Source organism: Homo sapiens, chromosome 15 (assembly GCF_000001405.40).
Source record: "Homo sapiens chromosome 15, GRCh38.p14 Primary Assembly".
In the NCBI taxonomy this organism is placed as follows: domain Eukaryota; kingdom Metazoa; phylum Chordata; class Mammalia; order Primates; family Hominidae; genus Homo; species Homo sapiens.
This window is the reverse complement of record NC_000015.10, coordinates 80,552,969-80,576,355: the sequence shown is the minus strand read 5'-3', so window position 1 is coordinate 80,576,355 and position 23,387 is coordinate 80,552,969. Positions and strand designations below refer to the sequence as shown.

The following is a 23,387-nucleotide window of genomic DNA, read 5'->3' as shown; positions in this document are numbered from 1 at the left end:
GCAGTGAGCTGAGATCACGCCACTGCACTCCAGCCTGGGCGACAGAGCAAGACTCCACCTCAAAAAAAAAAAATTAATGAGAGTTCTTTCTCAGACATTATTTTATCCAATCTTTCCAACCCTGCGGTGTAGGGATTCCAAGTCCTCTAGTTCTGGGTGAGGAAGCACAGGGTAACAGCGAAGAGGATGGACTCTTATCTCAGCTCTCTGGGTCTGAATCCCATCTCCAAGGTAAGAGGTGCAACCTTGGACTGTTACTTAATCATCCCCTGCCTCAGTTTCCCAACAGAAAGAAGGCGAGAATAAAAGTATCTTCCTCAGAAGGCTGTAGTGGCAATTCAGTGAGTTAACCTAAGTGCTTACGACAGTGCCTGATTAAGGGAGCAAACAGAAACTAAAAGTTTGCTATCGTTTGTTACAGATGAGAAAAGTGAGTTGTAGCTTGTCCAAAGTCATGAGCCGGCGAGGGAGGGCTCAAGGCGTGAATGCAAGCCCAGTGCTCTTCCCACTCTGGAACTCAGCTACCCCTGGCCACCCTCACCCAGCAGGTGCCGCAGCAGGTGATGTCCAGGGAACAGCCCTGGATCTGTGTGCCTTGACGTTCCACTAGGGTTTCTTTGAGAGACTGAGCTCCTCTAACACTGAAAACACTCAGCCCCTGGCCAGCAGGTGCAATAATGCATGATTTTCTGCCACCGCAGAATGGTGAGCAGAGTCGTCTCACCCACAGGCTCACCCACAGCCACACGGCTGAAGAAATGGGCTCAAGACCCAGCTGGCTGTTTAGAATTTTACACGAGAGAGAAGGTGCTTTGTATGGTGGTTTGAGAAACAGGAGTGGGAACACGAGTGGTGGCAGGGTGCTAGACAGCAGGCTCCAATGTGACAGTTCTCCCTCCTTCGGTCATCGAGGGTGCCCAGGGCTCTCTGCAGTGCCCTCCCAGTGCCCCAGAATCTTCAAATTTCTACCCATCTCATTCCTACAATCCCTAACATGTTCACCCGCAATGCGATATTGGAATAAAGGAAATAAAGTTTAGTTACCATACCCTGGGTAACTGGTATACAGAGGCAAGGCCAGGAGTAGACAGAATCCATTCCAACTCGTGTATTTTTATACCCTGCAATGGTTACTCAAAACTCACCTTCCGTGGCCCCCTCTTACTAAGAGTAGCTGTCTGTAGATGGCCTGAAAGCAACTGTAAACCCACACTCTCAAAACCTCAGTACCATTTGGAAACTTACATGCACTAATTCCTGCAAACATTTCAGCAAACCGAGGATCTCTTTCCTGGGAGAAGATTGCATCCGCCTTTTCCACGGACTTCCCGGCCTCATGAACACCGGCTGGTAGGTTGGGGACGGGGACCTATTTGCACATTAAATAAAACACAACAGCAACTCATGCGTAAGGCACAGAACATGCGTCCCCAGGAGCCACCAGCTCTCCTTCATCAGAGCCCCCTCCCTCTGGAATCACTGGCATTTTGGGCTGGAACATTTTATCGGGTGGGAAGCTTTTCTATATGTGAAAGCCAAGAAAAGCCGGTGAGGGGGTTAGGGGGCGGTGAACTGAAGGTCAGAGGAAGGACAGCAGAGTCACACTGATTACTTTCTTAGAGAGAGTGAGAAATGAACAACAATCAACTTACTCTAAATATCAGGAAAAGTGGACATCATGTGGAGATAGGAGAAGGAAAGGAGACAGAGCCGGTGAAGAGGGAGGCTCAGAGCATGACAGGAAGAGGCACATTGAGGAAGAACAGGACACAGGCAGTGGCAGGGAAATGGCCAAGAAGCCAAGGGGCCCAAGGGGATCAGAAGCTGCTCTTGCTGGCCTCTGAGTATACTCATACTACAGTTCACGCATGGTCCTCAGAAATGTCCCTCAGCCCTTAGGTTGACTATGGCCCCTGGTTCTTCACCTGGTACTCACACATTCTTCATGGCTCAGTTCTATAGGGAGGAGTGACAGCAGCAGACCCCCAGGGGACCTGTAGGTCTGCTCTTTCCATTGTAGTGGGGGGATGGGGCAATCCTTTGTGTTGAGGGGCTCAAGCTCAGGGCTGAATTGAGTCCCAAGTCCATTGGGCTGGAGACAATTCCAACAGGGAAAGGGTTTTCCAGAAACTCACCTGGGATAAGTCATACGATGACAATCCATCTCTCTGGTGCACTTCCAATTCTGCCTGCTGTTGCTGAAGTTGCCTGTGAAACAAGAAGACAACAGAGGGTCATGAAGAACAGAAGGGGTGACAATAGGGCTAAGCCAGGACTTTTCCCATACCTCAGAGGCAGAGTGGGTGATATCCGATGGATCTCTACATTGTTTTCCATTTTTAATCATTTTATTTTTAATGCCCTAAATCAAGACTCCAGACATTGCATTTCATGTTTAGGCTACCAAACTCAACTATTTAAGAAACCAATTTTGACGTGTGACTTCATTTTATGCAGGGTCAAAAGATACCGCAGAACAAATACTTTAAGGCAAATTCAGAAAAGCAGTTGGGTTTAATGCTGAATGAAGCAGTTGGCTTCAGCTAACACTTAGCCATAAACGGGCGGGTGTTTACATTATCTCATCCAATCCTCACACTATGCTTTCACAGTGGTTATTCTACCCTCATATTAAAATTAAGAAACTGAAGTTCAAAGAGGTTAAGTGGTTGCCAAGGTCAGCCAACTGGCAAATGGCTATGACAGAACAGAGCCAGGGTCTGACCTGATACTTCTGACTCCAAGGGGCTTTGCTGCCTGCTCCATTTGGGGAAGAAAAAGACTTGCTGGAGGAAATGGCGGCTTTACTGGATTGTTTTCAAGGGAAAGTGAACTCTATAGCTCAGAGCCTAAAAATGGGGCAAATGACAGGATCCTCTTCAATTGTAAATATCATTAAGAAGGACAGGCAAAAAATTATTAGTGGTACTATGCAATTCAAATTACTAACAGACATTACTCCCAGCCCAGCAATCAATTTAAAGCATATGAACAGACAATTCAAGCAAAATAAATAAATAAATAAAAGGACAAATATACATGTACTGTATGTACCTATAATAACGTATATATAATAGATACAATAAACAAGTCAGGGAAACATTTTGCCATTAAAATAATCAAAATAAATGTAAATTAAAACACCTTTGAAGTATAATTTTTCAACTGCTAAGTTGGTAAAAATATGTTTCACATGGTGGCTTTGCATTGAAACTACCATGGTCACACGGTGTTGGGGAAGTGTGCATGGCACGACCTTTTCGGAAAACTATGGTGACCCAGATGAGGGACTGTGGACTTGCTCACACGCTCCCAGGTGGTCATCCTGCTGCTGAGCTGTAGTAAGGAAATTATTCAGTGGAAGGAAGTAAGAGCTACCCATGCAAAGTTGGCTGTAATCAGGAGTGACTTTGTAAATCCTGAATATTAATTTCCTGAGTGACTATTCCACAGCACTGACAGCAACCACTGTGAAGATCGTCTGGAAACACAGGAAGGTATGATGAAAGGTGTGGAAAAGTTCAAGTGCAGCACAATATATTATGCACGCTGCAATTATGGCCACAAACTATGTGGGTGAGCAAAATTTAACACCAAGAAAAACAATCTCTCAAGTGTCTGCATTAATTAGGAAGGTTATGGATTTCCTTTGTTTACGTCCACTGTCTATTTTGAAACAAGAAGGATCACAGTGGGTCTCCTCTGACACGTTCGTGGTCCCACTTTTTTCACCCATGGCTGTGTCCTGGACTGGGTGGTGGGGAACCCCATGGAGGAACTGCCCACAGGCCACCTCCCCTCATCTGGGTCTGGGATGCAAGGAGGGCTGGCTAGATATTCTGTGGGTAGGAAGAGAGGGGAGGGTGGGAGAGGAAGCCTTTGTTATCTAGGATGAGGAAGTGGCTGGTGGGGAGGAGCAGGTGTGGAAGGTAGACCAGCTTCCTGGGGAGGAACCACCAGGAATGCATGGCTGGAACACTGTAACAAAACTGTAAACAAACTGTAACAAAAACTGTAACAAAATTGTAACTATCAGCAAAAGCACAGGCTTGGTGAGAATCTGGAGGCCCCCATCCAGGAGAAGGTGGTGTGTGGCCACCGTGGAAGGAAGGCAGAGGTAACACCTGCACCCGCCCCTGTGCATTTGCCCTGGCCCCCTGCTAGGTGCCTGCATTCATCCTAACTCACCTTAGGCTCACAGTCACCTTGGAAATAGGTTTGTTTTTTTTTTTAATTCCCTTTCCGCATGAGGAAACTGAGGCCCAGAGATGCTAGAGGTTTGCAGAAAATAGATGGCACCCTCAAAAGGGATGATTAAAGAAGGTTTAGGGAAGGGGCTACTTAACAGGTGTGGCCATAAATGGACAGGTGTTTACATTATCTCATCCAATCCTCACACTAAGCTTTCAGAGTGGTTACTTCACCCCCATATTAAAGTTAAGAAACTGAAGTTCAAAGAGGTTAAGTGGTTGTCAAAGTTGGCCAACTGGCAAGTGGCTATCACAGAACAGAGCCAAGGACTGACCTGATACTTCTGATTTCAAGGTGCTTTGCTGTCTGCCCCATTTGGGAAAGGAAAAGCTTTCATAGTTGTTATACTAGGATGGTGAAGAGCCCCTAGGCTAGCAACAACAGGAAGCCATGACCATCCCTAGGGCCAAAGGGACAGGGGGAGTGAGCAGCTATCAGACCTGTGAGAGCCGTGGTGAGCAAGGCTGCCTAATACCTTTTACTCTTCCACTCTTGTTCCTTTGTTTCCAGCCAGTCCCTCCACTGGCCAAACTTAACCAGGACAGAGATCAAGGGATCCCATTTGGCCCTTTCCACAATGGTTAACTTCAATCTTCCTCCCAGGCAAACAGGCAAGGCAGAGGGTGCACCAACTGTGTGTGGTAGAAACACAATCACCAGGCTGGTAAGTGGTGAAGACTGAGCAAGACTAGATTTTCTCATTCCAAGTGTAGGCTGTTTGGATTACACAAAAGATGCATTGCTATTTACCAACTCTCCTCAGCTCCTAAGAAGCAAATGCACACAAGTGATCTGGTCCACAGCTCCTCTGATAACAGCAACCCCCAGTACATCATTTCTTTTGACAGGCAACTGGTCAGTCTCTGCTTGACTTTCTCTGCTAGAGAGCTCACTACGTTTTGGGGCAGCCTGATCCATTTGCAGACAGAAATACTTATAAAAAGCCTGACCCCTAAGGAGCTGAAATGTACCTCCCTATAACTTTCATCTGGGGAACAACTTCTGCCCCTGGAGAAACACAAAATAAGTTGGATTCTGTTTCTAAACTCTTTTACTCGGCATTATAAAATATGTATGATCTGAACGCCATTTCCTCCTCTGGCCATGCCGTCTGTGCTGATGGCCCTGGTGTGTGTGTGTCCCCACCATAAGGGAAGGCCTCCTTGAAGGGAACCCCAGTTGGAGGACCCTGAGAACATTCTGTTTCGAATTCAGCCCAGAAGAGTCATTCATTCAGTGAACTGTACGGAACTCTTTTGCCAGGCACCGGGGACAGACTGATTGCTCAGAACCCACAAGATCCCTGCCCTCATGGAACTGACAGTCTCCAGGGAAAGACAGGCGTGGGCAAGCAATTACAGTGTGGTGAGTTAAGATGACGCCTCAGGAAGAACAAGGTTCTATCCAAGGGTACAGTCTGCCTCCTAATGTCGGTGTGGGAGCCCAGATAAAAGGAAAAGGATAAAACCAAAAGCATGTGATCTCCCACCAGGCAGTCTCAGCCCACACTTGTTAGACCAGCAAAGTGGGAGCACTAGAAATAATTTTCCAAACAAATTGATATTTCAGAAATTGAAAAATGAATCAGTATAATCAATAGAAAAAAAAAGCATTACTTTCTCTACTCTCTTATTCTTACTTTATGGCTTTTGTTATGTTTTGCTTTGATTCACACCTTGGGGGCACCGTCACCTTCCACTTAATGTAGGACTGATGGCCAGCACTTTGTCAATATTTTCACATCTCTGCAGTATCCTCATTTTAGAGATAAAGCAACTGAGACATATGAGGAAAGTGTAGATGTAAGTGTCCAGGGTGTGAACTATGGGTCCAGAGTAACAGTTAGAATGTAAATGATGCATCCAGGGCGACATGGCTAGAATGTAATTGATGTGTAAAGGGTACATCCGGGTGACATGGCAAGAATATGGAACACATATGACTCAAACCCAAGTCTGTCTGGCTGTTGGCCTTGCGGTCTTTTTACTCTGGCCTAGGCTGCTGCCCCAGCCCAAGAGAAATACCCATGGCTATAACAAGGACAATTATTCCATGTCTCCCATTCTAGTACCTTGGGCATCTTGAGCCACAGGAAAGAGAAAAATCTGTTCCTTGGGACTTTTGTGGGGTTGAAGCAGTGAACTCCCCATGATGGCAGCAATCCATGAACCATTCTCTGGCCCAGGCCCAGAATCTCAGAGACAGGACAGGGACCACTGTGCGCAGTTGTGTAGCTGTGCCCCGGATGCCTGGCCAAGGGGCGAAGTGGGGCACAAACCTGGCCCTCTCCACTCACACACCTTGGTGCAGGTCTGTGTTTGGGGAAGGCCCATGTTTCTAATGTGGATAAAGGCTGTGATAAGGGTTCTTGGTATTAGGCCGGGGGTTTGCTTTCAGTTCTGTTCCTCTTTGGGCTCCTAGACCAGAAAAAGCTCCTTTCACTGGGAAGCAGAAAAATTAGGTCGCAGGTATGGCTGGCAAATCCCCAGGACCCTAACTGCTCTGGCTCTGTGGTCGGAACATCAGCATCTCCATCCCACAACCTTTGGGTTTCTGCTTCCATAGCTGAGCATGTGTGGAAGAGAAAGTGCTGACCTGCAGGCTGCCCCATCCTGAGAAGAGCCCTGGGGAGTTTTCTCAGACATTTCACGGCAATGGTATAAAAATAAACCTCGGTGTGCTTGCAAATTCCAGAGAAGGAGAAAGCAGGGCTGCTCAGGAGAAAACTGACTGACAGCACATGCGAGGGAAGTGGGTTCCTACCACAGCCAGTGCTGCCCTCCATTAGCTGGGCTACAACGGCTGAGGAGTAGAAAGTGAATGCATCAAGTGCGGCTTCCTGCCGGCGAGGTGCAGGAGTCCGGGCAGATGCTGTCAATTTTCCCTGATGCTCCCTGGACAGGGGTTTTTACTCAGCCTGAGTAAGTGAGCAAGAAGCCATGAAGCGGGCATTCTGAGGTAGCTGGAATCATGTCCCTGGGAGTAACTGGAAGCACACTGGGAGGCGTCTGGGGATGGAGGCTAATAATATCCACCCTGACTGAGCACCATCTGCATGCCTATTGTGAAGGACTCGAAATACTTGTTACAGGGTTTGGAATTGATTCGATCAGGGCAGGGAGCAGCACGGTCCAGTCAAGCATGTGTGTGCACGCGCGTGTGTGTGCGCGTGTGTGTGTGTTAGAGCTCACTTCCTGGGCCACGTGGACTGGCTCAGCAGGGGCCTGATGGAAGGCAGGGGAGATGGTCAGGAAGACCGATGATCACTTGTGAGACGGCAAAGGCCTCAACTGAGGCAAGGCCAAAGAGGCAGAGGAGGAGATGCGCTAGAGAGAATCGCAGGTAGAACCTGTGGGGCTCTGGTTCTGTGCCAGGTTGCCTGTTGAGGTGAATGAGAGGGAGGGATCCAGGATAGCTCCCAGATCTGGGGCTTGGTGACTGGCTGTTTCAGCCCCTTACTGCCTCTACGCTCTGCAGAGACCAGGAAAGCAGCCTTCCTTTGACTTCATTTGTACCCACCCCTATGCTCCACTGCCTGCCTAGGACCAACCAGGTGGCCACTGCTAAGCATGACGAAGGAGACGTGATGGTGAGTCAGCTCGAGAGAGACTCCGTCATGATTCTGGGCATTCTGGGGTTTTAAAAACACATGCACACACACACACATACACGAGCACGACCAACAGGTGTGGTTATGACAACGTTGGAACAATGCTGTGACAGGAAATAGGACTTGGCCTGAACAGACACAAAGAGATAACTTCAGATCACTCCCCTAAAAAGATGTCAGAAATGAAGAAAGCACAGCAGCTAGGTCGTGCCCATGTAAAAACGCTGAAATGACTCAAGCTAACAAACAGCCCCAAATGAGTCTTGGCCCCCCAGTGCCAAGGCACGTTTCAAAGTTGTGCTGTGTGACCAGCACGTTAAATCAGTCTGTGTTTTTCTGGACCTCATTCCATATTTGATGGAACAGGAAAAAAAGCAAGGATGATAAAGAGGTCTTCTTTGTAGTGGCTTTACACAAATGTTCAACATTAAACACTCAGTTTCTCCAGGAAGTTTCTTTTGGATGCTTTTGACTGAAAGCAACCGAGCTTGCAAATTGCCCACACTCCACCCTCGCCATCCCCTCCCCTCAGCACAGAGCATTTAAGGATCTTTCCATAACAAGTCTGCCTACTGCTGGCAAAGTTTCGCCTCACAAATTCAAAAAAGAGCTGGCCAGTTCACATCCCTGATTGTCACTGCCCTCTACCGTCCACAGTAGACTTTTCCAACCAACTTCACCAGTGTAGGACCTTTCAGTTCAGAGACACAGATTGAGGCTTCTGGTGTAACTGTGCCCTGAGGGGGCATCCTGATCCGTGTAACCTCACAAGCTGCAAAAGCAGTTGTCTGGAGGAACTACGTAGGCCACCCCCTGTACAAGATGGCTTTTCTGTTTTCTCAGTGCTGCCTGACTTTCAGAAAAATAAAGCAAAACCTCAGCCAGGGGGCTGGTTTTCACAGGGGGATCTTTACTTTTCTTGCAAACCCCACTGCAGTGCTACCTCCTGGGGATGCTTTCTCCGAGGCCCTGCGGGGAAGTATTTATTCTCTGCCCCCATTGCATTCTACCTGTCCCTCCCGTCTGCCCCTTCTTACGTTCTTGGAGCTCAAGAACGTTATGGGAGCTCAAGTCTTAGCCTGGAGTGGCTGGAGCAAGGGGCCATGACAGGAGGTATGAGCCTGGGACAAAGCTATGGCTTGAACAGATGCTAAGCAGATCCAGGCTGGCATTTAAAGCTATGTCTTGAACAGATGCTAAGCAGATCCAGGATGGTGTTTTCCTCCTCCTCTCCCTTTGGGGCTCTCACCGCCCTGCACCTGGCTCCTTCAGGTCAGTGAGCACATCCTGTTACCCTGTCTCAAGAGCTCCTGAAAGGCCCATGCTCAGCACCCTCCATAACCCATCTGTTGAACAAAGGAAGCACCATGGAATCCTGAGCCCTGCTTACCTTTACTCCCGTTTCTCAAGCTTCCCTATTTTCTTCAAGGCCGGGCCACACATGAGCCTGGCACAGAGGTGGTACCTCTCTGCTTCCTGAGTAAAGAAGAACCACCCTTTTCCCATGTTGGGAGAAGTGAGACAATAAAACATCCTTAATTTGGCCAAGCTAACTGAGTTTCACTAGATAAAATCAGAATAGAAAATAGTAAAATAGTATTATCTTTTTGCACACCTGGAACTATGACTTAGTACATTTGTTCCTGCTCTACTTACAACCAAGAACGTCTTGACTAGAAGGCAAAGGTAAAAAAAGAATCAGAATATCAAGTCAGCCAAGGGTGACATTAACAAAGAGGAGCTGGTTGGACAGAGTTTGGGTAGAATGACCAGTGAGAACAGGTTATTTCATATGAGTTATCCGAGGCTGCTGGGACAACAATTTCAATACCTTCAGGGCCAAAGCCAGGCTGTAAGGTGCTAACAACAGATGAATGGTGAAGAAGGAGGTTCCCACAGACACGTCTGGCAGGGCCAGGTGGGAGGGGAGCTTTGGTGGGTTGGCCAGACAGGGATTCTCCGAGATCAGGAAGTCAGGTGCCTATGTGAAAGCCCAAGAAGGAGCCAACAAGGAGGATGAGACAAGAAGGGAGGGTCACGGGAGTCCAGGGACGTGCAGGGAGATGAAGAAGGTGCAGAGTTTGGCCCTGGAAGGAGGAGGCTTTGCCTCTGCTAGATGCCAGAAATGGAGGAGAGGAGGGCATTGAGATAGATACACTCATGAACAGGAAGAGAATCACCAGGAGGGTCCTGGTGTCTCTGTTTGTTGGAAGGCAAGGTGATCTGCCCAGAGTTAGAGGAAGAAGGCAGGCAGGGCATTTAGAAGACCAAACATAATCTAGGGCTGCAGGCAAGAGCTGGCCCAAGAAACTGCCAAGTCGCTGCAAAGGGTGGCAGGGTTGCTGCTGCTGGTGCTGTTGACAATCTCAGTGATAGTTACTGCAGACCACTTTTACCGGGGCCGACTCTGCCTGCTATCACAGTAGAGTGCTTCATATGCAGTAGCTCCATGCAGAATCTGCAGAAAAATTCTATGCTTCTGGGCCAGTACGTTCTGTCATTCTCCCCATTTTACAGATGAAGCAACCGAGGCTTAGAAAGAGTAGGTGACTTGCCCAGTTGGGAGCTGGGGTTGGAATGCAGGTCATCATCTAATTAAAGAGCTTCTGCACAGAAAAAACAAACAAACACAACCACAACAAAACTATCAATAGAGTAAACAGACAATCTACAGAATAGGAGAGAATATTTGCCAACTATGCATTTGACAAAGACATGATATCCAGAATCCACAAGGAATTTAAACAAATCAATGAGAAAAAAACAAATCCCATTAAAAAGTGGGCAAAGGACATGAACAAGATACTTCTCAAAAGAAGACACAGAAACAGCCAACAAACAAATGAAAAAAATGCTCATCATCGCTAACCACCAGAGAAATGCAAATCAAAACCACAATGAGATACCATCTCACACCAGTTAGAATGGCTATTAGTAAAAAGTAAAAAAAAAAAAACAATAACAAAAACAAAAACAGATGCTGGCAAGGTTGCAGAGAAAAGAGAATGCTCACACACTGATGATGGGAATGTAAATTAGTTCAGCCACTGTGGAAAGCAGTTTGGAGATTTCTCAAGGAGCTAAAAACAGAATTACCAGTCAACCCAGCAATCCCATTACTGCATTACTGGGTATATACTCAAAGGAAAATAAATTGTTCTACCAAAAAGACACTTGGACTTGCAGGTTCATTGCAACACTATTCCTAATAGGAAAGACAAGGAACAAATCCAGGTGCCCATCAACGGTGGGCTGAATAAAGAAAACGTGGGCTGGGCATGGTGGCTCACACCTGTAATCCCAGCACTTTGGGAAGCCAAAGCAGGCAGATTGCCTGAGTCCAGGAGTTTGACACCAACCTGGGCAACATGGCAAAACCCCATCTCTGCTAAAAATACAAAAAAATCAGCCAGGCGTGGTGGTGTGTGCCTGTAGTCCCAGCTACTCGGGAGGCTGAGGTGGGAGAATCACCTGAGCTCAGGAAGTCGAGGCTGCAATGAGCCCATAGTGCCACTGCACCTCAGCCTAGGTGACGGAGTGAGATTCTGTCTCAATTTAAAAAAAAAAAAAGGAGAAGAAGAAGAAAATGTGGTACATAAATGACACAAAATATGCAGCCATTAAAAAGAACAAAACCACGTCCTTTGCAGCAACATGGATGCAGCTGGAATCCATTACCCTAAGTGAATGAATGCAGAATCAAAAAACCAAATACCGCGTGTTCTCACCTTTAAGTGGGAACTAAACATTGGGTACTCACAGACATAAAGATGGGAACAATAGACACTGGGAGGACTACTAGAGAGGGAGGGTGGGAGGGAGGGAAGGGGTGAAAAATCACCTATTGGGAGCTATGTTCACCCTTTGGGTGATGGATTCAGCTGAAGTCCAAGCCTCAGCATCATGCAATATATCCATGTAACAAACCTGCATATGTAACCCCTGAATCTAAAATTAAAAAAAAAAATCCAGGTCATTGGCCCTCTGAGGGTTCTCTCATGGGCTTGTCTGTCCAGCTCTGTGACTTCTGGCCCAGGAGCAGGGCAGAGGCTGAGGACTCAGAGGGTGGTGTTGCCTGGAAAGAAGGTTACTTTGTGGGGCCCAGATGGGAACTCCCAAATCCAAGGGGCTCAGAGACGGCAACAGAGGGCAGAGCCAGGCAAGTTCTGAGAGTGCCAGTAGGCTGTGGTGACCGCCTGGAGGCTTCAGAATCCCAGGGAGGCTACCGAGAAGGGATGTCAGCAGATGAGGAAGAAGAGGTGGTAGGGTTGGAAACAGGTCCCCCGACTGAGTGCTGAACTGGGGAAAATGATGGATGCTGGTGCCACTGACTACGATGGTGAGACATGGGGACAGTTCTCCGGATGCCAGCCTCATCTCATACCCTTGCATGCTACAGTCCTCCCGACACACTGGCCATGGCTTCCACATGCTTGCGTTTGCTTGGACATCCTTTTGTCCAAATGTCTTTGTGTTGGTTCCTTGGCCTTGTATTTCCTTGAGATTAAATGCAGAGGAGGCATGACCTGTTCAAGGTCATGCTCACTGTGCTGGAAGTTGAACCAAGTGTCTGGCCTGTAGCTTGACTTCATTTAATCTTTACAGCAACCTTATGAGGGAGGTGAAGAGAGGAAGTGACTTGTTCAAGGACGCACAGCCAGGAAGTGGTGTGAGGTCTGCTAACATGCATGGAACACAGGAGTGGTGATTCCAGCAGAGATCTTGGGATCCTCGGACCCTGGGCAGGGAGGAATGCTTCCACGGCTGGGCAGCAGGGAAATCATGTGTCCTTGAGGTGCCTACACCCAGGCCACCTGTCCCATTCCCTAGAGCTGCCAAGAGGCTCAGCCTCCCTTCCTCCACCCCCGGCTTCGGTAGGACCAAGAAACCAGGCACAAGCAGCTGCTGCAACAGGGAGCAACAAGGCGGGGCCCAGCAGAGCTCCAGTTGGCTGAGGTCCATGCTCAGGGGGAAGAAAAGAGGAGCAGAAACTGGAGCACCTTGCACCGAAGGGAAGGGAGTGTCATGATTATCACTCATTCTTTTGTTTCTCACAAATCAGGAGGGAAATGAGAAGGAGGAACATGGGAGGGAGACAGTGATGGGGACCTACAGTCTCCTCTATTCTTAATCCTACAGGGATTTCCAGCTGCAGGGAGAGCCGGCAGGGAGAAAGAACTCCAAATAAAATTGCCAGCTCTGGACCCAAGCAAGCGCATGTGGATTCCAGGAGAGGGAAATGGCAGTGTACGTACTTGACGTTGGTGTTGGTGCAGATGATGTACTCAATCTCATCAGAATAGGGATTCTGGAATGTGAAGCTGCTGGTGCGGATCAACATCCACTCCCGGTTCTTGGTGCGAAATCGATACATGACCGACAGGACTTGGCCTTTCAGCTTAACCACCTGAGAAAACATTTGGAGAAGGAAGTCAGCAGGAGGAAGGATGGTGCCAAACGGGAGGAGGGAGAAGCTGCAGGCAGTGGGGTTGCGGCAGGGGCCAGCAGGACCTCAGAATAGGGGCATTGTGGCTAAAAGACAGTAAGAGAGGGAGAGCAGTTTTGCAATGGGAACTCCTCCGTCTACCTTCTGGTGAAATGGGGTGCTGCATCTGGGTCATTCTGTAACCACGGTATGAGAAAGCAACCACTCAATGCCTGCTTTATAGCAGAACTTTTAATTTAGCTTTTACAAATGAGATCATGAAAACTCTGCAAGCCAGAGCGTTTTTCTTTTTGCCTCGGTTGCTAGGGTACTCTGGGTTTGGTGCTCTCCACTCACCCCCAAGTTATCTCACTCAGGTATGTAGCTACATTGTATTCATTGATTTATTTCTTGGTACGGCAACATACAAGATGCTTAACCCTGCTTAACGTTGTAAAATGGAGTCAGTAGACTCTGGTAGGAGACGTAATGAAATGATCACTTTCTATGGATTATTTATTTATTTATAAGTTTCTATGTATGACACTTTGATGTTGTAATATGATTTCAAATGTATTGCTTCAGAAAGAGCCTCATAAGAGTTTGGTAAGATGAGTTTTATTATTTACAGCTGATAATACTGAGACTCAGAGAAATTAAATAAGTCATCCAAGATCAGACAACTTTGGTGGAAAAGCTGGGACAGGAAGCAAGATCTCATTTCCAAATCACAAGATTGTCCCTCTGGCTATACAGATCTCCCCTTTGTTCTATTGAAAATATGCTCCAGCCTGGCCAACATGGCAAAACCCCGTCTCTACTAAAAATACGAAAACCAGCCAGGCCCCATGCCTGTAATCCCAGCTACTTGGGAGGCTGAGGCATGAGAATCGCTTGAATCCAGGAGGCAGAGGTTACAGTGAGCAGACATTGCGTCACTGCACTCCAGCCTGGGTGATGGAGTGAGACTCAGTCTCAAAAAAAAAAAAAGAAGGAAGAAGAATAAATAAAATATATAGCAGTGCCCCCTTATCCAAGGGGGCTACAATCCAAAACCCCCAGTGGATGCTTGGAATTGTGAATAGTACCAAACCCTATAGATGCTATGCTGTTTCCTATATATACACACCTATGATAAAGTTTATAAATTAGAAACAGTAAGAGATTAACAGCAACTCATAATAAAATAGAACAATTGTACCAATATGCCAGCATCACTATTCTTGCACTTTGGGGCTATTATTAAGTAAATAAGGGCTACTTGAATGCAAGTCTTAAGATACTGTTGATCTCATAACTGAGGTGGCTAAGAGACTACTGGGCAGGTAGTGAACATAGTGTGTATACACTGGCCAAAGGGAGGATTCACATTCCAGGCTGGGCAGAGTGGGAAGGCACAAGATTTCATCATGCTACTCTGAACAGCACACAATTTAAAACTGATGAGTTCTTTCTGGAATTTTCCATTTAATATTTTTGGACTGTGGTTGACTGCTGGTAACTGAAATTGTCCAAAGCAACACGGCAGATAAGGGGGACTGCTGTATACATTGTATGCACACACAGCAAACCAGACACGGAAATACGCACGCATATGTGCAGAAGGTAGCATTCGGGTGTGGTTCTCATGGTCAAGGCACAAATGGAAGAAGGGATATAAATGACTGGTGGGGCTAGGCCTGGGTGTGATTACACCCCTGGCACAAAATACAGTGAGCAGGAGTTCTCCCCTCCACAGGCATGTGCAGACCCCAGATCAGGGCTGGTAAATCTCTGGGCCATGGCAGTCGGGTTTGCCAACTGAGAGATCACAATGTGACCATAGATTAGAATGGGGACTTGGTCCCTGTGATCAGGGAAGGTCTGACTCACCCATTCCTCACACCCGCCACACTTGTGGTCTATTCTTCGGTGGTGTCTGTCGTCTTGGCCAGACTGCATGCAGCATGGGGACAGGGACATCTTGGTCACCTGTGAATACCCCATCTCTATCCTCAAGACCTGCAAGGAGCAGGCTCTCAGAGCACACTTCCCGCAGGGACTCAATGGTGTGCTGGCCCCACGGCTGGGGCTGGCCATCCTCCCTCCACACTGTCCCTAGGGGAAGCCAGACAAGATCTGAGCCTGCGGATGTCAGATAAGGCTCCCTGGTGGGAAATCCCTGAGTGATAAATAAACCAAACCAAGAGCTCTGGGAGGGTGGGAGGCTGTCCCTGACACCACAGGGGAGGAGGCTGAGCTGCAGAGTAAGTAAGGCCAGGCACATCTGCGGCCCCAACAGCAACCTGGCTGTTTCCCCTTGGGGCTGGAGGTCAAGGCCATGTGCCTCTCAGGTCAGCAACCAAGAGGGACTTCTCTGTGTCTGCACCAAAAACAGGGGACATAGGGAGTCACTGTCCACGTTTTGAAACCCACATCTTCTGCACTCTGAGGAAGCACAGGAAGGGCGGTCCTTCTTTTTTGTTTGTTTCTTCTAACTAGAACGCCCGAGACAGTGTGAAATTTGTTAGCTCCATGCAACTAGCACACAGAAGGCACGACCTTAGGAGCTGGGGAAAGGGAAGCTCAGCCTTAGGAGCTGTGGAAAGAGAACAGAACAAGGGAGCGGGCAGTTCTGCACCCTCCTGGGTCCAAGTTATAGGCTAAGCACCTTAGACATGTTAGCTCAAGCAGTCCCCATAACAGCATTTTGTGAACCTGGAAACTGAGCCTCAAAGGAGTTGAATATGTTGCCTAAAGCCTTATGATCCTAAGCCTAGATCTACCTGGCCCCAAAGCCCTTTGCATAAATCCCTACTGCCAATGCACATTCTCTCTCCCCAAAGAGCCTCTCAGCCAGCAGGTGAAGGATCAATGTGTAGATAACTGTAACCCAGAGACAGTATGCTTGCTGCCACTACAGAAACACAAGATGAAATGCCATGGGGTTACCAGGAGGGCGAGGAGAGATGACCTGCAGTCAGGATCTGAAGACGGCTCCTGGAGGGAAATGGGGTTTGGAACACAGTTGGAAGGTGGGTAAAGTGTTGGCAAGTGAAGATGTGTGGGGAGGGCTCTCCTGGCAGAAGGCACAGCAATGGGCCAATGTTGGGAGGCTGGGAAACCTGAGATGTGATGGGGGATTGGCTATGCATGGTGCAGGTGACATTGTCCAGGCCCTCAGACCAGGGTGATACACGTGGCTGTGCTTAACCCAGGTGCAATGCGGTAGATGGCCAAGGCCAAGCGTAAAACCCGGCTTAGCCTGGCTCTTCATAAAAACAGCCCCCTTCAACATCCTCATCATCATGGAAGGTGCCTGAGTGGAGAGGAGACGGGGGAGATGGGAGGCTGCTTTCACTTTCACAGAGTTCAGCTCTTTTTGACTTATAGGTAAACTGTGCCTGGAGAGGGAATCCAAGAGCAGAGGCAAGTTTCCCGGTTCCTGGCTGGCTCCCTCTCACCCCCTCAAACTCAAATTCCTCACAAACAAGTTCTAAGGGCCTCCTGTCTGGGCTATTCAAGTGCTTTTGTTTAAATCCAGAGTTCAAGAGCTGGCTCTTAGCTGACGTAGCCACCTCCCTGCTTCTGCAAGAAGAAGCCACTTCCCTTTATCAACATTTGACCCCCACCTTGGCTGTCAGTGGCCGGAGACCAAAGAACACAAGCACGGGGCCGAGGTGCGGTGTGCTCCAGGATGTCCCTGTGGCTGCTTGGCCGCTGCCCACAGTGCCCTGTGGCCGGGGCTGGGGCTGGGGCTGGGTCTGGGGCTGGGACTGCCGGCACTGCTGTCTCGGCCTCCCATCCCACTGGAGAAATGTGGTGGCTGCTCACAGAGTGAGAGTTACTTAACCTGGATATCAGGGTGGGATCAGATGTTAAATTCCTTCTTTGTCTTTTCAAAACCAACCGGTTCTGACAGCGTCAGCAGTCTGAAGCCTTGGATGTGCTGTTGGATGGAGAGGCCCATGTGTGGGGTGTGGTGTTGTGATTGAATGCATTGGAGGGAGACAGGCCTGGGCTCTGTAACCTGGGGCAGGCAACTGCACCTCCCAGTGTCTACTGTGAAAAAAATGGGGAAGACAACACTTACTGTGTAGGTTTGAGGATTACATAAGATAATGAAATGGGTCTGGCCAGTTACTGGGCACAGAATGGAGGCCCCCACCACTGTTAAAGCTCCATTTCCATTAACCCACAAAAATAAAGCCCACCCAGCCCAAACCTGACTGCTAAACGATGCAAAGTTTATCATAATTTCCACATAGTCAGCAAACATATGGCACAAAAACACATCCCCTTACAATGCTTAACCATTCCAATTTCACATTTTTCCAAAATGAAAGTCAGTTGCTATGGGTTTTGATCCATTTAGATTGCTTTGTTGAGAGCCACCCTTGTACAGGGCTCTACACTCAGTGGTGAAGATTAGGATCAAATGCACACATGAAGGCCGGGCACGGTAGCTCATGCCTGTAATCCCAGCACTTTGGGAGGCCGAGGCAGGCGGATCACTTGAGGTCAGGAGTTTGAGACCAGCCTGGCCAACATGGTGAAACCCCATCTCCACTAAAAATACAAAAATTAGCCAGCCGTGACAGCACAGGCCTGTAATCCCAGCTACTCGGGAGGCTGAGGCATGAGAATCACTTGAACCTGGAAGGTGGAGGTTGCAGTGAGCCGAGATTGTGCCACTACTGCACTCCAGCCTGGGCAACAGAGTAAGACCCCGTCTCAAAAAAAAAAAAAAAAAAAAAGCACAGACGTAATGAAGTCTGCCCACAGGGAGGTCAGGTTCTGGTAAGGAAGACAGAAAAACAACCCCCCAAACAAGCCAATGGACAAATAAATAGTTGCTATGAAGGAAAACAAGGGACTTAGAAGGAGGCTGGGGTGACTTTCTTAGCTAGGGTGACCACAGAGGGCATCCCTGAGACAATATGAGTGGAAAGCTGAAGGATAAGATGTCAGTAATGTGAAGAGTGAAGGAAAGGCATTCCCTCAGGGGAACAGCATGTGCAAAGGCCCTGAGGTTGGGAAAAGCATGTTCAAGGAACAAAAAGAAGGCCAGCGTGACTCAAGAGTAGTGTCCACATGAGGATGAGACGGGGCCAGGTATACATACAGCATGAAGCTATGATAAGGAGCTTGGATTTGATTCTAAATGCCCTGTTGGCATGTTTTAAGTAAAGACGTGGCAAAACCTAATTTATGTCTTCCGAATGGCTTGGAGTAGAGTAAGAGTAAAAGCAGAGAGACCAGCAAGGAAATGACTGCAATGGTCAGAATGGGAGATGGGGTGATCTGGTTCAGGGGGGTAGGAAAGAAGAAAGAGAGGAGGGGCTGAATGTGTGGAGTGGGATTGAGGGAAGGGCTAAGGATGTTTCTTGGTTTCTGGCCTGGGCAAACAGGTGGATGGTGATGAGAGGAGGACTGGGGGCTGGGAAAGGATTCAGGCATTCTGCATTTGAGGGCTGTGGGGCATTCACGTGGCAGTGTGGAGTAGCAGCCAGTTGTTACATAGGTAAACTCATGTCCCAGGGGTTTGTTGTGCAGATTATTTCATCACCCAGGTGTTAAGGCCAGTACCCAATAGTTATATTTTCTGCTCCTCTCCCTCCTCCCACTGTCCACCCTCAAGTAGACCCCAGTGGGCTACTACCCCAGTGGTGTATAAGCAAGTGTGGAGCAGGAGGGACAGTCTGGGCTGGAGTCATCCCATGGGTAGGATTATCCAGGGAGACATCACAGGGAGGAGAGAAGGCAGCCAAGGGGAGATCCCTGGGGCATCATCCATCATGGCTTGTAGAAGAAGGCAGAAGAGGAGAAACCAGCAGAGGAGGCCAGAAGTGGGAAGAAAGCCAGGAGTGGCTGATGTTATGAAAGGAAGGAGCAGAGTGTGCAGGGAGGAGTGGGGGTTAAGAGTTCTATCCACATACGTGGCATAAATTTGGAGTCCTGTGTCAATTTGTGCAAACATAGCAACGCCTTCAATAGGAAGGCTTGGCGGTCAGAGAGGCCCACTCTTAGATACTTGTAAGGCAGAATGTCAAGCACATGTTTTCTCAGAGGCATGACAAACTATTATTCCCTCTTGAAAAGTAACTCAAGGGCCTCTTTACTTGAATAGAACACTGCCCGCTCTATTCTTTCCTAGGGCTGAAGCAAGATGTGAGAGCCCTGTGGAGAGAGGAGGTGTGTTCTCTCTCTCACCTCAGCTGAACCTGGGCTCAGGAAGCTGAAACTCCTCCATGTGAATCCTGGTTCTCTCATTCATCACCTGTGTGGCGGGACGGTGCTTTTAGGTCACCAAGCCTCACTACACTCACCTGTAACATGAAGATGATGATGCCTACCTCCTCCGACTACTGTGCAGATTTAATAGTGCATGGGACAAGGCTTCCCATATGTTTGGCACACAGTAGGTGCTCGGTACACAGCAGCTAACAGTCACGATGTGCATGACACTGTTACTCAGGTGGCCACCCTCTTGGGCTCCCAGGTCATCCTAAATCCCTCTCTCTCTTCACCATGTCTATCCAAAGCATCAGCACTCATCAAACAACTGTCTCCTCAAGTTGCCCCCTATTTCAAATTCCCACTGCTCCTGCCCATATTCTGGCCACATCACCTCTTACTTGGACAATTTTAAAGCCTCTTGTCTTTGTTTCCAGTTATTTCCTCCACCTGTCTCTTCTGCAAACCTGGGCTACTAAAGTGGTTTTTCAAAACACTGCTCTGCCTAAAATCCTCAAAGTCATCCTCGCTTACCTTTATTTGTATTTTATTTTTCTTTCTTTATTTATTTGAGACAGAGTCTTGCTCGTCGCCCAGGCTGGAGTGCAATGGCACGATCTTGGCTCACTGTAACCTCTGCCTCCCGGGTTCAAGCGATTCTCTTGCCTCAGCCTACAGAGTAGCTGGGATTACAGGCGCCCGCCCCCACACCCGGCTAATTTTTGTATTTTTAGTAGAGACAGGGTTTCACCATGTTGGCCAGGCTGGTCTCGAACTCCTGACCTCATGATCTGCCCACCTTGGCCTCCCAAAGTGCTGGGATTACAGGCGTGAGGCACCACACCCGGTCTCTTAACTTTGTATTGATTGAGTGAGTGAGTGAGTGAGTGAGACAGAGTCTCACTCTGTCGCCCAGACTGAAGTGCAGTGGTGCAATCTTCACTCACTGCAACCTCTACCTCCCAGGTTCAAGCTATTCCCCTGCCTGAGCCTCCCAACTAGCTGGGTCTACAGGTGCGTGCCACCATGCCTGGCTAATTTTTGTATTTTTAGTAGAGGTTTTGCCACATTGGCCAGGCTGGTCTCGAACTCCTGGCCTCAAGTGAACTGCCCACCTTGGCCTCCCAAAGTGCTGGGATTACAGGCATGAGCCACCACACCTGGCCCTCACTTACCTTTAAATGACTGAGGAGAGAATCCATGTTCTTCAGCATGGGTTAAGAGGCCTTTCATAACTTGGCTGTACCAGGCTCATTCTATCACCACTGCCCACCTCCTCCAAGTCAGCCAGTGTCACTCCAGCCACTAGGAACTGCTTAGGATTCTCCCTTTTGCATCTCTAGGGCTGCCCCTTCAGTCTAGAATGTTCACTCATTTATTCTATGCTCATCCTTTAAGACCCATCCCAGTTATTCTCTCCCCTGGAACAATTCCTGCCTCTTCCCCATGCAGTTAACCTCTCCAGCCTCTGTGCTCTGCAATGTTTTTCTTCATGACCCTTTAGAGTTCTCCTCCTATTACATAGTACTTATTTACTGATGTGTGTCTGTCTTCCCTACTAGACTGTGAGTGACTTCCTAGCAGGGGCCCTGAGTGAGGCCATAGGTAGGACCTTGCAGCCTGCCTGGCACATAGTAGGACTAATGTCCTGCCAGCCACATCCACAGGTGCCCAGACTATGCATCAGCTTTAAGTGGGTACTGGCAGTATGTACCTGCTGGAAGCTCTCACGCAGATGGCTTTGATCCTCAGGGTGGCAGAATTCCAAAATGTCCTTTCCCAGAAGATCCTAAATAAAAGAGACAAGCTTTAATAATCCCAGATCCATTTGTAATTATTTGTATACTCACTGTGATACAACAGTGTTCATTTCCATCTCCTTTAACTCATCTCCTTTAGCCTGTCCCACCCCAGATTTTTTGAAAAAGTGAGTGCAAAATTTCCCTGGGAGCCGTCAGAGAACTGGCTTCTTGGTATTCACTCTAAGTTCTTCTGGCATGCTCAATATCCATTTCTAATTTTGCTAAGGCACTACATCAGTAGCTTCAGAATGCAATTTTATTTTTGTTTGTCTTGGAGAGGCAAACTGCAATAAACATACTTTAATAACATAAAAAGAAAGCAAAATGATAGCCTGAGGACAGATGTGTTGCTTATGAAAACTGGAATTGTTTAAATGTGGAAATTGTAGCTCTCCTGTGGCTGAAAAAATGAGGTTATCATAAAATAACTGTACTTGTTAAAAGCCTGTTTACTATCTATTTATCATCATTAGTCTATGCTACATTCAAAGGACATAGCATTAGCCCAAAACAAAAGTGTGTTTCACAATGAAACTGATCAGAATAAGATAAACTGTTAACGGATAACTTCAAAAGTGTTGTAGTAAAGTGGTCCAGTTAAAAGTGTATTTTTTAAAATTTATTTTATGTTTTTTATTTTTTGAGATGGAGTTTCACTCTTGTCCCCCAGGCTGGAGTGCAATGGCGCGATCTCAGCTCACTGCAACCTCCGCCTCCTGGGTTCAAGCAATTCTCCTGCCTCAGCCTCCCGAGTAGCTGGGATTACAAGCACCCGCCACCATGCCCAGCTAATTTTTGTATTTTCAGTAGAGACAGGGTTTCACCATGTTGGTCAGGCTGGTCTCTAACTCCTGACCTCAAGTGATCCACCTGCCTTGGCCCCCCAAAGTGCTAGAATTACAGGCATGAGCCACCATGCCTGGCCAGGAAGTGTCTTAAACAGCAAAAGATTTAAACTAACTCATAGATCGCAATCCAAATCAGCAAATGGTCTAAGTGAATGCTGACACTGGCAATGGAGGGGAAGTCCTATCTGTGTGCCAAGGAGCAACTGGATGCCCCTGGGAGGTGCCACTAGATAAATGGGTCTGGCTGCCATCAGAGGTTGGGGTGAATTTGGAAACAAATCAATTTCTCCCTTTATTTCATCCAAGAATCTCGAGGTTTATATGAATCTAGAGATGCAGAATTATATGCAGAGTCCTAATAGTTCTAGTTTGAACTGCTTCTAGTCCTAAAATACACATCATTAAAATACTCATATCTACATATCCCAAACGTAGTTGCTCAGAATAAATATTTTTTCTTTTATAAAAAAGCTTTTTATTTTTAAATAAATTTAAATCTACAGAAAAGTTGATAGTACAATAAACTGCTATATATCCTTTATGTATATTCAATAATTATCAATATGTTATCACATTTGCATTTTTTTCTTCATATATGTGTATATATTCATACATATGCATGTATATACTTAATATACTTAATTTCTTACTGAACCATTTGAAATTGAGTTGTGGACATCATGGTACTTCTCAAAGTATTTTAGCATGTATCTCATAAAAATGAGATTATCTTACAAAACGACAATGTGCTATCATGTGCTATACTAAACCTAAGAAAATCAATAATTATTCAATGACATCACCCAATATTCTGTACATATTAACATTTCAATTGTCTCCTAAATGTCTTTTCTATCAATATGTCTTGAGGCCCAGGACACAATTAAGGCCCTTATGTGGCATATTATTATTTTATCTCTTTGGTCTATTTTAATCTGGGACAACTGCTCCTGCCTTTTTGTTTCTTATGACATTGACTTTTCAAAAAAGAGTCTAGAACACAGACCTAAAGACGTGCCACCTATACAAAAAAAGGTTTCCAAATGCACTTGAGAAACAAGAGGTTAGGCAAAATTAGGTAGGCATCTTTACCAGGATTTGCAGGGTCTTCCACATTAATGAGCTTTGTAATGAATATTAATAAGAGATCCCCTATTAATAGAACATCTTAATTCCAGTTTGTGAAAAATCAACTAGAGAAACATAACAGTGAGGGCAAAGAAGAAAGAGTCCAT

At 47.2% G+C, this 23,387-nt stretch overlaps 1 protein-coding gene and 1 long non-coding RNA gene across 2 annotated transcripts in view; one reads left to right on the top strand and one right to left on the bottom strand.

The window, feature by feature from the left end:
- The window catches only part of ARNT2 (aryl hydrocarbon receptor nuclear translocator 2), a 193,552-nt gene that overhangs the window by 21,578 nt on the left and 148,587 nt on the right, over positions 1–23,387 (bottom strand). The window contains exons 11-14 of the mRNA NM_014862.4: positions 21,217–21,291; positions 13,117–13,268; positions 2,136–2,208; positions 1,246–1,369 (exon numbers count right to left, since the gene is read on the bottom strand). Coding sequence (NP_055677.3) covers positions 1,246–1,369; positions 2,136–2,208; positions 13,117–13,268; positions 21,217–21,291 — 424 coding nt within the window. The remainder of the gene's footprint in view (positions 1–1,245; positions 1,370–2,135; positions 2,209–13,116; positions 13,269–21,216; positions 21,292–23,387) is intronic.
- Positions 13,412–21,747, top strand: ARNT2-AS3 (ARNT2 antisense RNA 3). Its single transcript, NR_120363.1, has 3 exons — positions 13,412–13,494; positions 16,189–16,300; positions 19,423–21,747. It is a non-coding gene; the product is annotated as an ARNT2 antisense RNA 3 (long non-coding RNA).